This window comes from Homo sapiens, chromosome 7 (assembly GCF_000001405.40).
Source record: "Homo sapiens chromosome 7, GRCh38.p14 Primary Assembly".
In the NCBI taxonomy this organism is placed as follows: domain Eukaryota; kingdom Metazoa; phylum Chordata; class Mammalia; order Primates; family Hominidae; genus Homo; species Homo sapiens.
Window position 1 is genome coordinate 83,470,804 of NC_000007.14, and position 13,844 is coordinate 83,484,647.

The 13,844-nt window shown below is 35.4% G+C and overlaps 1 protein-coding gene and 1 long non-coding RNA gene across 3 annotated transcripts in view; both read right to left on the reverse strand.

Moving 5' to 3' along the window:
• The window catches only part of SEMA3E (semaphorin 3E), a 285,902-nt gene that overhangs the window by 107,566 nt on the left and 164,492 nt on the right, over positions 1 to 13,844 (reverse strand). The gene's annotated exons all lie outside the window — the stretch shown is intronic.
• LOC105375378 (uncharacterized) lies at positions 930 to 11,446 on the reverse strand. Its single transcript, XR_927716.3, has 3 exons — positions 11,436 to 11,446; positions 5,822 to 5,825; positions 930 to 1,227 (listed from the first exon to the last, which is right to left on the reverse strand). It is a non-coding gene; the product is annotated as an uncharacterized LOC105375378 (long non-coding RNA).

Genomic DNA, 13,844 nt, shown 5'->3' on the forward strand with positions numbered 1-13,844 from the left:
ATATAGTCTGCTGTTTCTGAGTGTTTTGTAATGTTAAGGTGTGGTTCCCCCACATTTTCTTTTTTTTTTTTTTTTGGATCTTAAAGTGGAAAACATGTTTATTAACATTCAAACTCCCCTCATACAAGGCCATATAAAAATCCTTAGCATTTTGATTATACATTAGTCTACATTTTCTACATAGTTACAATGATGTATAATTTAGCTTTTCATAATACAGTGTTTCAATACATCATTAGTTCTGTTAAACATAAGTCACTTACTTTCAAATCCAATACTTGAACAGTTTTCTCTGTACATAGTTTAGCAGGGCTAATTAGCATAAGATGCTATTTGTTAAGAGGTATATGATCTGAGTATTAACAGTTGCTGAAGTTTGGTATTTTTATGCAGCATTTTCTTTTTGCTTTGATAACAACACTACAGAACCCTTAAGGACACTGAAAATTAGTAAGTAAAGTTCAGAAACATTAGCTGCTCAATCAAATCTCTACATAACACTATAGTAATTAAAACATTAAAAAAAAAGTGTTGAAATCTGCACTAGTATAGACCGCTCCTGTCAGGATAAGACTGCTTTGGAACAGAAAGGGAAAAAACAGCTTTGAGTTTCTTCGTGCTGATAGGAGGAAAGGCTGAATTACCTTGTTGCCTCTCCCTAATGATTGGCAGGTCGGGTAAATGCCAGAACATATTCCAACTCAACAACTCTAGGTAACTTTATGGAGGTGGAAGCTGGGTTAGTTCATGCTAGGTGGCTGTAGCACTGACCTCATGTACAAAACTCAAAACACTTAAATACTGTGATCTAAGTCTTAATTGCAAGCTATACTGAGGATTTTTTTGTTTGTTTGTTTTGGCTATACTTTCATTCCAAAAGAAGAGCTGAATTGATGTTTGAGTTACAGCACCAGTCTATTATTAGTGAATGAAGTATACTCTTGCAGATAAATACCAGATCAAAAATCCCATTTCAGTAATTTGATTAAACTGTAGAATACTAAAAAATAAGGTATTTCTACAGAAATCTTTGAAGGGAGCAAAAAATCAAATTACAGTATATACCTAAATATTTTAAAGTGAAATAAACCAATCATCTTCTGAAAGTCAAACAGTATTTGCTATGTTGTAATCCCATTCACCATTAGGCTGCAACTGGACCACGACATCATGTTTATTAATTTCATTTTCTGCATCACTACTGTCAGTATCTTCATTGTCGTCTTCCTATTTTCTTATCAACTCTCCCAGCGATGGATACCCAGATTGCTTCCAAGTCTCTATCACATCAAACAAATTGTTACCTTTTTGTACATGCCCTTTTTGGATCTGTGTAAGAAAATCGTTGGTATATATACACAACAGAAGAATTACTGCTCTCCGAAATGGCTACATGTCTATACCAGCAATCCATGCCCCCATACCCTCACTTAGCATGATCAACTTTTCCAATTTTGGTGTCAGGTGCTTTAAATACAATATCTAATTTAATCCTTACCACAACTTTATCAAAGAGATGCTATTATTTTGGGAGTTTCTTTTAAAAATTCATATTTATCTGTGGAAACCCACACTGCAATAAATATATGGGTGGAAACAAAGGAATATGATCCATTTGAGTAACTAACTGTAGCAACTGGTCAGTTCCCAAATGTTTTTGTGGCTCAAGAGCTTAAGTCTCCTACTTAATATTGTTTATCCCCACATCTGCTGAATCAATCACCTTCCCTCACCAGAATGAAAAAGCTCAGTCCACCTCCTTTCTTAAGTTCCCTCGGAATTTCAAGGGAGCACCATCTGATGTATCAATTTCATGGGCTTGGCTGGTCAGGTGATTTATCTTGGAGGGATGGTGTTTCTCACCGAAACACTCTACAGTTTTTACTTAATTGCCTCCATTGAAGCCAGATGATATGGTTAGGCTATGTGTCCCCACTCAAATCTCATCTTGAATTGTAATTCCCATAATCCCCATTTTTCAAGGGAGAAACCAGGTGGAGGTAATTGAATCATGGAGGCCGTTTCCCCCATGCTGTTCTCGTGATAGTGAGTGAGTTCTCACAAGATCTGATAGTTTCATAAGGGGCTGTTCCCCCTTGGCTTGGCACTGCTCCTTCCTGCTACCTTGTGAAAAAGGTGCTTTGTTTCCCCTTCAGCTTCCACCATGATTGCAAGTTTCCTGAGGCCTCCCTGGCAATGCTGAACTGTGAGTCAATTAAACCTCTTTCCTTTAAAAATTATCCAATCTTGGTAGTTGTTTATAGCAGTATGAAAACGGACTAATACCACAAGCTACCTAAGAATTTTTCTGATTCCCTTTTGTAGGAAGTCACTTTTCATTGTCAAGTTAACATTTTGATGAAGGAGTGAAAATAACACAGCCAAGTAGCATGGGCCTCTCAAGATATCATTAACATTTTTACAAACAGCTTCTTTCTCCTCAGGATGCTTAAGAGTCCTCAGAGACCTTAGTTAAGAAGGATTCAGGTACAGCCTTTTCCAGTCCAGTGTCAATGTGTACTGTTGTTAGACTGTATTGCTAGGCCTGTGACAGTAAGACAGACTCTTCTCCTGTCTACAGCAGTTTGTTTGTTCCCTTAAAGTCTCTATTATCTTCTGCCTCCCCTTCCTCTATCCATCACCATCCCAGCTTATGCTCTGTCAGCCTGGAAAGATATTCTGATTATCAAACAAAATATTAGATGTTGCTGATTGGCGGTATTTTTTATTTAGTGGCAAATTGTAATTATTTTTAGGCTAGGAGCCAGCATTTAAAAATTTAAAAATCTTGCATAAAAATCCATATTTCTGATTTCCCTAAAAATATGATGAAATGCAACACTAGGCATGCATTCCTGTGCGGAAATATTCCTCTGGAGTTGAAATGGAACAGATATTCTGATTTGTTTCAGACTTTTCTTTTACACGAATGATTCCTATAGGTATTTTAGTTTCTAAAATCTCATATTTGTTTGAATCCTAAATATGTTCAAGATTCAGCTTTTTTAGGACAGGTGAGGTGGCTCATGCCTGTAATCCCAGCACTTTGGGAGGCCGAGGCGGGTGGACCACCTGAGGTCAGGAGTTTGAGACCAGCCTGGCAAACATGGTGAAATCTTGTCTCTATGAAAAATACAAAACTAGCCAGGCGTGGTGGTGTGCACCTGTAGTCCCAGCTGCTCCAAGGGTGAGGCAGGAGAATTGCTTGAACCTGGGAGATGAAGCTTGCAGTGAGCCAGGATCCTGCCACTACACTCCAGCCTGGGCAACAGAGTGAGACTCTATCTCAATTAAAAAAAAAAAAAAAAAAAAAGAAAAATAAGACGTATGCTTTTTCTTTTTCTTAAAGCCATGCCCCATAAAATATCAGATAAGGCATGTAAATCCCAGAAGTGAAAGAGGCTTGTCACTTAACTTATACATTATGTAGCCAAATCCATTTCCTGATACATGAGTAATAATGGGAATTTATCAAAGTGATGATAGTAGCATTTTATAGTGATAAATGCTATCTGATTTAATTTATTATCATAGAAACAAGCACTCTATGTTTTGAATTATAGGTATAAAATATTACTTCGATGTTGTTATTCATTGGTGCAATGAGCCCCAAGCAGTTTTTTACTAACAATATTCAGCATCATGTGTTCTTTAATTTTCATAGTGCAATGTATAAACTTTTAAAGGAAAACACAGTTTTGGCATATAAACTTTAAGTGAAAACACAGTTTTGTTTTTGATGTTGCAACACAAGAAAAGATAAACAGAGAAAAATGGTGATATAAAAGAAAACCAACCCTAAAGCAAAAAGCACACACATAAAATCCTAGAAAAGATGTTGATGTTAGCAATGAATCCATCAGTGGGTCATGCATGATTTAGGAAAGATATCAGTCAATATCTGGTTACAATGCAGCTTTGCATACACCTGAGAGGAGTCACTGACCCCACTATAGGTCGAATCCTAGAAGTGAAGCTGCAGAGTTTATAAGCTTTACCTGATCTATTATTTTGGAAAATCATTCTCAAACTGACAGATAGATTTTAAGAAATAATTTGTAAGACCCATTCTAATTTGACATTCAATTTGATTTGGGAATTATTATTTTACTGTGGATGTATAAATTATTCAAATGTATATGCTAGAGCATGTGCATGTATATATAGACTATACAAATATGTATACATATTTATTATATATATATAATAAAATACAAATTCATTTAGGATCATCTATCAGGAAAGATTTTCATGACTAATTCCCTTATCAATATGACTAGAATAGATAATCCCTCATCCATAATTCAGAATAATGCATTACGGTTATTACATAACTTACGAGATATAGGCTGGGCTTCTTTTTACAATATTAGCATCCCTTCTTACTCATTTTTCATTATTATGTAAAATGAAGGCTTCTTTAAACTTTAGTTTTACTGCATATTATTCTGTATTCCCCTAAATACTGGCTTCAAAATGATCATTTCCAGTTAAACACACTGTTTAGGGGTTAATTCTCCATAGCGTTTTTATACATCTTTTGACGGCTTTTGTTCCAGAATATCTTTTCAAATAGCCTGAAAAGATAGAGACAGAATCTCCCTCCAGGGCAAATGGAAGATTTGTTTCCTGACCAGGATAGTAAAGATTCGATCTCCCCCTAGACAAAGTTTAGACAGTTTTGCTAACAGCCCCCTTATAAGATTGGGAGTTTCCTAAGCTTGGAGTCCCTCAGGTGTGACACGTATCCACTGAGTGCGGTGTCTACCTAGGCTGCCACGCATCACCCCCTGCAGGACCGGAGGGGCAAGGACACTGATGGAAACAAGAAGCTCTTGCTGCCTGCTGTGTGCCATGAGTAATAGTCTTTCGTCTCTGACCCAAGAGTCTAATGTTTTCTGACAGCATCTATGTAACTGTGACAGGCTAACCTGTCTTGAGAGCAAGATAAAATCTCAGACCCTTCACAGTTTTTGTCACAAAGATAAGATATTATGTGATGGTGAAGACAATAATGGCTTTTCTAGGATTGCCAGAACATGCATTGTTCCTAGCAGCAAAACTAATAATGGCAATTGCTGTAAGAATAACAAAACTATTCTTTCAGGTGCATTTCCCAAAGAGTTTCACAACAAAATCTTTGCTGATATTTTTTCAACGGACAGTATTTCTCACTCCTTTGATCCCTCATAGTGTTCTTATTTTCTCTATCTAGGATAGCGATGATTTGTGTACTTAATTTTAGCTCTCTTATTAGACTATAAATTACAGAGGGCAAGGCAGTGACTTATTTCTGTCTCACTACCAGTGCCTATCTGGCACAGTGTCTTAAGCACAGTCTCTGCTTTTCAACGTCCATTGATTGGCTTGTATCAGTCAATATGCCTTTTATCACATTCTTAGTGAAGTCAGTCTGTCAAAGGAGATTACAGTAAAGTTTGAGAAATCAGGTTCATTGACATGAAAATGCTGTAACATGTTAAATGAATAAAACAAGTAAAATTTTCCAGTTTAATCGGAAGGAAATACTGTAGGATTTTAGCAATAACCCCGGCTCTGAAAGACTTGTAGGATTTCTGAGGAAAGGTAGATGGATGTTTAACAGATCACTCTTGAGTAGATGGAAGAAAGACAGAAAAGTATGAACACTCTCTACAGTAAAGTTCAACACATGGGGACCCTCCAAAGGAATAACAGAAATATAGGTTTACCAAAGTTTTTTTCTTGTTATTTTGGTTTGTTTGGTATTTTAAAACAGTTTAATAGGCTCAGGACTGCAACCAAACGTTAACTCAGGTGACAATATATGGCAAAGAAAGACCTCACTGGAAATGGAAAGTTATTTTTAAAGCCATCACGTAAAAATGTTCTGCCAAGCTAGTAAGGGAAATGATTTCCTTCATTTGTTTTGGCAGTCAGGATGCCTTTTGGTTCTGCTCCAGAGTTTAGCATCAACAAAACCCCATAAAATTAAGCTATTTGTTCTGCACAAAACATTTTTAAAGGCAGTTAAACAACAGGGTATAATGTGATTTCCAAAATCTCTGTACCAAAAAAGATACAAAAGCAAAAGGTTAAATACACATCATTTCATCACAATACCCCTACAATATAATTTAATCATTCCGCTGCACATTAACAAGCCATTTACTATTCTTGCATATTTCAACGGAGAAAAATAAAATAAAGTATAAATTAAATTACAAGGTAATTTTTTTCTGGACTCCCTACTGAGTCACATAATTATACCAGGATTAAGGATCTAACAGCTTATTGTTACAAGACGTTATGACACTCAGAGATTTAGGAGAGTGCAAACAAACTAACGAATATGAAATAATTTTTTAATTGTCTAAAAATTAGATTATCTTTTTATTTAAAGAGTAAATAAAACAATTCAGTTAATATAAGTCTATCTTCATAGAATATATTTTAAGTGACTAAGCCTCTATAATTTTATCTTATATTCTCTTCCTATTTCTATTATTCTAATGAAAAGTGTTTGCCTATATTTGGGGTTTTCTTTCTGTATTTACATCTATGTGTGGCACCAGTGTCCATCAATGTACATCTTAATTATAGATCCTATAAATATTATTAAAAACAAGAAAATATATTTTGAATAGAACACATTAAAATAGTCTTAATGGTTTATAAATGATAATCTTTAACCTGACACACATTATCTGTCATTATGTTTATGCCTTTATACTTAATTATAATAACTGTCATTACTCAAGCAGTTTATGTGCCAGAATTATAATATTTTGAACTATAGACAAAATTTGTATTTTAAAAAGCTTATTCTCCTAAGCATTTGAACTAGAAAAATATGATAACTACACACAAACATTTGTAGCCTGATGCATGGCCTTTTGTATGGATAAAATTTACTCAATTGGTATAATTAATGTGAAATGCCATCTGACATTTATGTACAAATTGTACATAAATGCCTTTCTTCTACTCGATAAAAAATTAAATTCTAAAATACAAGAACTTTTTACACCTTTGATACAATAAAGTTGAATAAATGAGAAAGGCATAAATATTTTTATAAACAGAATTATCTAACAGAACTATAATATATATAGATATACAAATTAAGTAATGTAATTTTGGCTTTTTTTTTTTGAGACGGAGTTTCACTCTTATTGCTCAGGCTGGAGTGCAATGGCACAATCTCGGCTCACTGCAACCTCCACCTCCCAGGTTCAAGTGATTCTCCTGCCTCAGCCTCCCAACTAGCTGGGATTACAGGCACCTGCCACCACGCCCTGCTAATTTTTTTGTATTTTTAGTAGAGATAGGGTTTCTCCATGTTGGCAAGGCTGGTCTTGAACTCCTGACCTCAGGTGATCTGCCCGCCTTGGTCCCCCAAAGTGGTGGAATTACAGGCGTGAGCCACCGTGCCGGGCCCAATTTTAGCTTTAAATTATAGTAGTGAGAATAATTTTAGAAAAACAAGCTGAAATTTAGAAAGATAAAAACTATAGATCAAAGTTTCTGAAACTGAAAGTTTATTACCAAATATGAAATATTCTATGAGTTCCCCAAAATATGGCTTAAATATAAACATTTTCATTTTTTATTTTTTCATGAAATGAAAAAAAGAAAATAAAATTTTATACATTAAACAAGTATTCATATCTTCCAGAGAATAATTTTGACTTATTTTTTAGGAAGTCTTAGTAATTTTCAAATGTGTACAGATTGCAAGGGGCTATTCATACAGAACATAGACAGGATAATCTGTTACCTGTGGTTGAATACTGGCGTCTTCTGGGGCTCTCAGCCCTTATTATAAGTAAACAAAGGGTGTACAGTTACATCTAATACCAGTCGGTGGTTCTTCTCTACTACTGTCACTAGCAACTAATTGTTCTACTAGTTCATAACTATTACTAGGGTAAAATGCAGCCATGCAAAGGGAATAAGAGCCAAGGAGAAAGAAACACCTCATAACAAAAGCAGAACTAGCAAAACTAATGGCACACTGAAGACCAATATGGGAGACAGGAAGTTGATCTCAAAGCAATAACCTGGTTCTCAGTGATGGCTTCTAATACAGATGTACCTGGTTTTAAATTCTAACTGCTACTTACTGGCCTCATGGCTCTATTCTCATTTTCCATCCATTTATTCATCATGCTGCTGCCAAAGTAATCACTAAACTACAATTCTAATTATTTATGCCCATATTGAGAATCCACCAGTGACTCCTGCATTGCCTAGAAGATTCCGTTTCAACAGCATTGCAGTCAGTATTCTTCACGAACTAGTCTGTGGTTTCCATCCTTAACCCTTACTGCATACCCTCTTCCCACCCACATGTCGCCAACCCATCTATTTACTTCAGCCGAAAACATCAGTCATTATTCTATACTGCTCTAAAATTTCTGTCCTTCCTACCCCTGCTTTCTCTGTTCTCACTCTCAATCAAAATTCTATTATTCAAAGCCCAATTTAAAGTATATCTCCTCCAGGAACCACTCCTCCGAAACTTTCTTAGCATTTTATTTGAACCTTTATTGTCTATTCAAATTGTGCCACCTATGGCACATGTATATCTATCTATCTTGTCTACTGTATTATAAATATTTTAGGGTAGGCACTGTTTTATTCATTTTTGCTTACTTCATATCCCCATATATGTTTCTAGAACTTAGTTAAGTAACACCTAAAAATATGTAATACTTCTATCCCTCACTTTCTATGGTAGCACATTAGAATCATCTAGCTTCAGTTATAACAATGAAGATAGTAAATATTAAGGCGGTGCTTACTATGTTCCAGGCACTGTTCTGGGCACTTAATAACTCACCTAATCTTCTCACAAAAGCTAAGAGAAAGATACTATGGATATCTGTTCTTACAGTTAAGAGAACTGAGAAACAGAGCTGTGGACTAATTTGCCTGGAATCTCTCATTTAATAAGAGGTAGTGTTCAGATGGGAGCCCTAACAATGTGGCTATAGAATCCGTGTTCTTTGCTGTTACACTCTGGTCTCTGCTCTCTTCAAAAAGTCCTCTAATATAATTGAATTAAAATAAGTTAAAATGAAAACTAAAATTAACATGTTGGCTTCAATTGTTAAACACAATAAGGAAACACAAATACATAAGATCTAGTGCTTCTTTTTGGTAAATATAAATAAATATGATGAATATGAATAACTAAAAAAGTTTTTCTCATAGAAAAGAGAAAATGGCAGAAAAATGCTTTCAACACTTTCAGGTGCAATGTGGAAAATCTTACCATGCATAATATTCAGAGGAATTTTATTTTTGGTTAATACTAATTTTAGCTGACTAAACAATATTATCACAACCACTATTTTAAAATGCCATTATAGGCTGGGCACAGTGGCTCACGCCTGTAATCCTAGCACTTTGAGAGACCTAGGCAGGTAGATTACCTGAGGTCAGGAGTTCGAGACCAGCCTGGCCAACATGGTGAAACTGTCTCCACCAAAATTACAAAACAAAATTAGCTGGGTGTGGTGGCACACACTTGTAGGGGCCAAGGCAGGAGAATCAATTGAACCCTAGAGGCAGAGGGTGCAGTGAGCCGAGTTCGTGCCACTGTACTCCAGCCTGGGTGACAGAGTGAGACTCTGTCTAAAATAAATAAATAAATAAAACGCTATTAGTATTAAGATGTTTTAAAGTCACAGGGAATGTTTTTTCTATACTTTTTTTTTCTTCAAAGAATTGTTTGAATTACAGCTAACAGAATAGTTGTGTAAATAGTGGGTTGGCTGTAACAAAATAGCAAGATATTTTGTAGTTATTATTTTTGTTTTTGGATTTCCCTAAATATATTTTTGATATAGCTAAAATATTCAATTTTCTATGAATTGCTTTTTTAGCTATTTAAAACTTAACAATTTTACTGAATCTATTTAAGTCTTCTTAGACTTAAGTTCAATTAAATTTTACCAGCAACTGAAGTTTAAATAACTATGCATTATGTAGAAATAAAATTTAATTCTGCTTAATGAAAGCTCCTAACCAGAAAATCTAGTCATAACATAATAAAATATCATTATCTCTTCTGGTCGCATCTTGAAATTACAAGTTATAAATAAATTGCAGGGAATGGGTGTGGGAAGAAACATATACATTTATTTTCAAATTATCTATTAATAGATTAGATGTTCTTCCTCAATATAAAACTATATTTAATAATTGAATAGTAAGTGAAAGAAAACTTAATGAGGACTCTTTTAATAAAAGAAAAATGAACGGCAATTTAAACATGAATAGCCATGAATGCCAATGGTTAGAGCCCCATCCCAATTTAGAGACTTTGAAGCTTATAAACACTTTTTTTTAAGAGACAAATGCAGATGTGGGTTGAATCTATGGTCAATCAAGCGAAAAATGTCTACGAGGATGTTTTGTTTTTCCCTTTCCAAGTATTCTATCCATACAAGATCCTGATATTGTCACATTATGATCAGAAAGTCTCAGATGCTTTAATTTTTTACTTAGACAATAGTTTTCTTTAGTTCAGCCCAAGGTCTTTTTGCACTAAAGGACACTAGAGAAAGCAAAATAAATAAATAAATAAATAAAACAAAAACACGTTTTTTTTCAATTTCTTAAAACGTTAAATCAGAATTTGATTGAAATCAAAATTCTCATCTAAGAAGTCTTACATTATCTGGGGATTTTAGAGACTTTTACATAGAGTAAAATGCAAAAACTATTCTCTTTGAGGAGGTGGGAGATTCTCACATTAGATAACGCAAATGGAGTTACTAAATTGGAAGTTTTAGAGTGAAGAGTATGCTTTAGCATCAGCACTGAGTTTTGCAATTTATAGTGAGGGTTTAGGGTCTTTAATGAATGTTATATACGTGCAACAGAGCAGAAGTTCATTGGGAAAGAGTATGATCACATGGTCTGGGAAATGCAGTGAGTTAAATAATTTAGAAAGCAAAGCCATTATCTAAAAACACTAATACAATACAATAAGTTTATTAAATTACAGATTCTTATCTATTTCAAAGTTGTATGGAAAAATTATTCTTATAAGTGTGCATATTCATATAAGTTCTGGTTATTATTTAGAAAATAATTATTTAGTACCACATATAGGACTGGTATTTCCAAGACCAGCAAGGATAGTTAATACCCCAGCATTTCACAACCCTCATGCACATTACAATCACCTGGGAGAGTTTCAAAAAGTACCACTATTTAGTCCTCACATCAGTTTAGAGGTAGAGCCTAAACACAGATATTATTTACACAATCCTTAGGTGTTTACTAATGTGCAGCCAAGGTTGCAATTACTGCCACACTGTGAAACAGGATTCTTACCCTGTTTGCCAGAGGAGAAGTGGGTAGGTGGTGGATAGGTGGCTTGGGATGTAAGGGTAAGAAGAAGGGAGACAAAATTAACCTAAACGAAATTCAACAATAACTAGTCTGAAAGTGGCTGTGATAATAAGCACAGTAAGATTTGCAAGAGGCCAGGCGCAGTGGCCCACGTCTGTAATCCCGGCACTTTGGGAGGCCGAGGCGGGTGGATCACGAGGTCAGGAGATTGAGACCATCCCAGCTAACAGGGTGAAATCCCGTCTCTACTAAAAATACAAAAAATTAGCCGGGTGTGGTGGCGGGTGCCTGTAGTCCCAGCTACTCAGGGGCTGAGGCAGAAGAATGGCGTGAACCCAGGAGGCGGAGCTTGTAGTGAGCCGAGATTGCACCACTGCACTCCAGCCTGCGCGACAGAGCCACACTCCGTCTCAAAAAAAAAAAAAAAAAAAAAAAATTTGCAAGAAAGCAGACAGTGAAGAGAACAGATTTACTGGTGGAAGATGTTAGGATTAGCAACAGACACACTTTCACTCTTTCATTACATCTTCAAAGATGAACATAACACAATGCCTACTCTTAGGGACCCATCTTATAAGTAAACTGACAGCCGAACAGCCAATGTTAATACAATATGGGAATAAAAATCAGATCTTGGAATAAGGAAGGACAAGGAGAACCTTCTCCAAATCTAGGTTAAAAGAGAAAGAAAATAGATTTTAAAAAATTGGATATGTTTGAAGGTTATTCCAGGGAAGGGGAGTTGTAAGGATACAGAGGTATGAAAAAGAGAAATGGTCTGACTAGCAATGTGTTACTGGTGGACAAGTAGAGATTAGGCTAAGAAGGTAGAGGAGAGTAAGTCATGAAGAACTATATTTGCTCAGCTCAAAAAATTTAGAATGCTTTCTAAAGTGAAAATTATGGATCAGGAGTTAACTGGGGCCTGAAAAAAGAATTCAGGGAATGTCCCAACTCAGAAATCAGAAAAAAAAAAAAGTCATTATTGCATTAATCATTAACTTCTAACTGAAATTTAGCATTTCTATCAGATAATATATAAATGTAGAAGGCAAACTATAGTAGTAGTAGTAGTATCTGCGGTTTCATTACCAAGAGAAAATATATTTCAATGTTACTTTAGAGTTGTTGCAATTATCTCAAAACATCATTAACACTCATTATTAATTGGAAATGTGGGTTATTATGAGTGAGACCTGTTGCTAGGTTTTATCACTTAATATGTTAATAAATAAGGTATGTGTCATCATATCATAAATTACCATTTTAATATCATAATAGCTGTATTAAAAATATTTATAGTTTGATAACTTTAATATTTTACTTTGTAATTCTACATATTTACTTTATGCATTTAAGGATCCCTAGGTTTTGCCAGACTGCCAAATGAATCCATGTCTCACAAGGAAATTAAGCACCCCTAGACAAACTACATTTGTGGTTGATTTTTATAGACAGAAAAAGAAGAAATAATAATGTAGAAAAGACAGAAAATAACCCTTAAGAAAGGTCAACAAGCTGGGACCCAGAGCATGGGCTTAAGGAGTGACATTTCATAAAAGGAGGGAGTACTGACAATATAACAAGGAAGGAGGTGGGAAACATCATGTGGAAACAATAGATTTGGTGATGGGAGGGTGAGGATCAACATGTTCAATGGCTCCCATTTTCTAAATGAAGTTAAAATTGAAGGTTATTTATCTTCCCTGAAGAGATCATCAGGACTAATCCATCATGACGTACCGCTGTTGACCATAGTCACCATGGGAAGTATTGACCCGACCCACTTCCAGGTCAACAGTGAATACTTGGACTCATACATCACATGGCTCTGTACCACCCCCAATCTGACCCCACCTTTCCAAGACCTCAAACCCATCTGTGAAATCCTTTGGAATGTCATGGACAAAATCCCTGCAACTTCAATCTTTCTCTCCCCATTTTCCTTTACCTTCTTGCTCTGGTTAAAATCAGGCTGTCCCTTGAGAACACTGTTTCTCTATCAGATATGGTGGTGGCTTTTTTACTCTAAACCCACATGTGAGGAAAATATTTTCACTGACCACTCTCGCCTTCTCACTAATTTTTTCCTCTCTAAATTCACCTACTCAATAAAGATTTAAAATAATAAAACCCTAGCTGCTTTAAACTTCATATGGTCACAATCATACCACCTGCTACCTTCCTCCTTGTCATCTACCATCATCCATTGCTACTTTCTCCTCATTAATTGAATATGTTTTCACCTAGCTTACTATCCTTCTCTTCACATAGATGATTCATCAACCATCACAATTGCAAGTCAATGCCTGTCCATCTGTTTCAATGACCTCGTCCTTCAAATCAGCCTGAGGTACATGCTCTGATGTTACTTTACCAGTTCTGCAGTGTAACTAGTCAAAACTGGTCATTGAGCCTTGAAAAATGGATAGTGGGCATTTAATTTTGCTATCTTCTTAAATATCACCTCCCTAGAAAATATTTTCTTGACCACC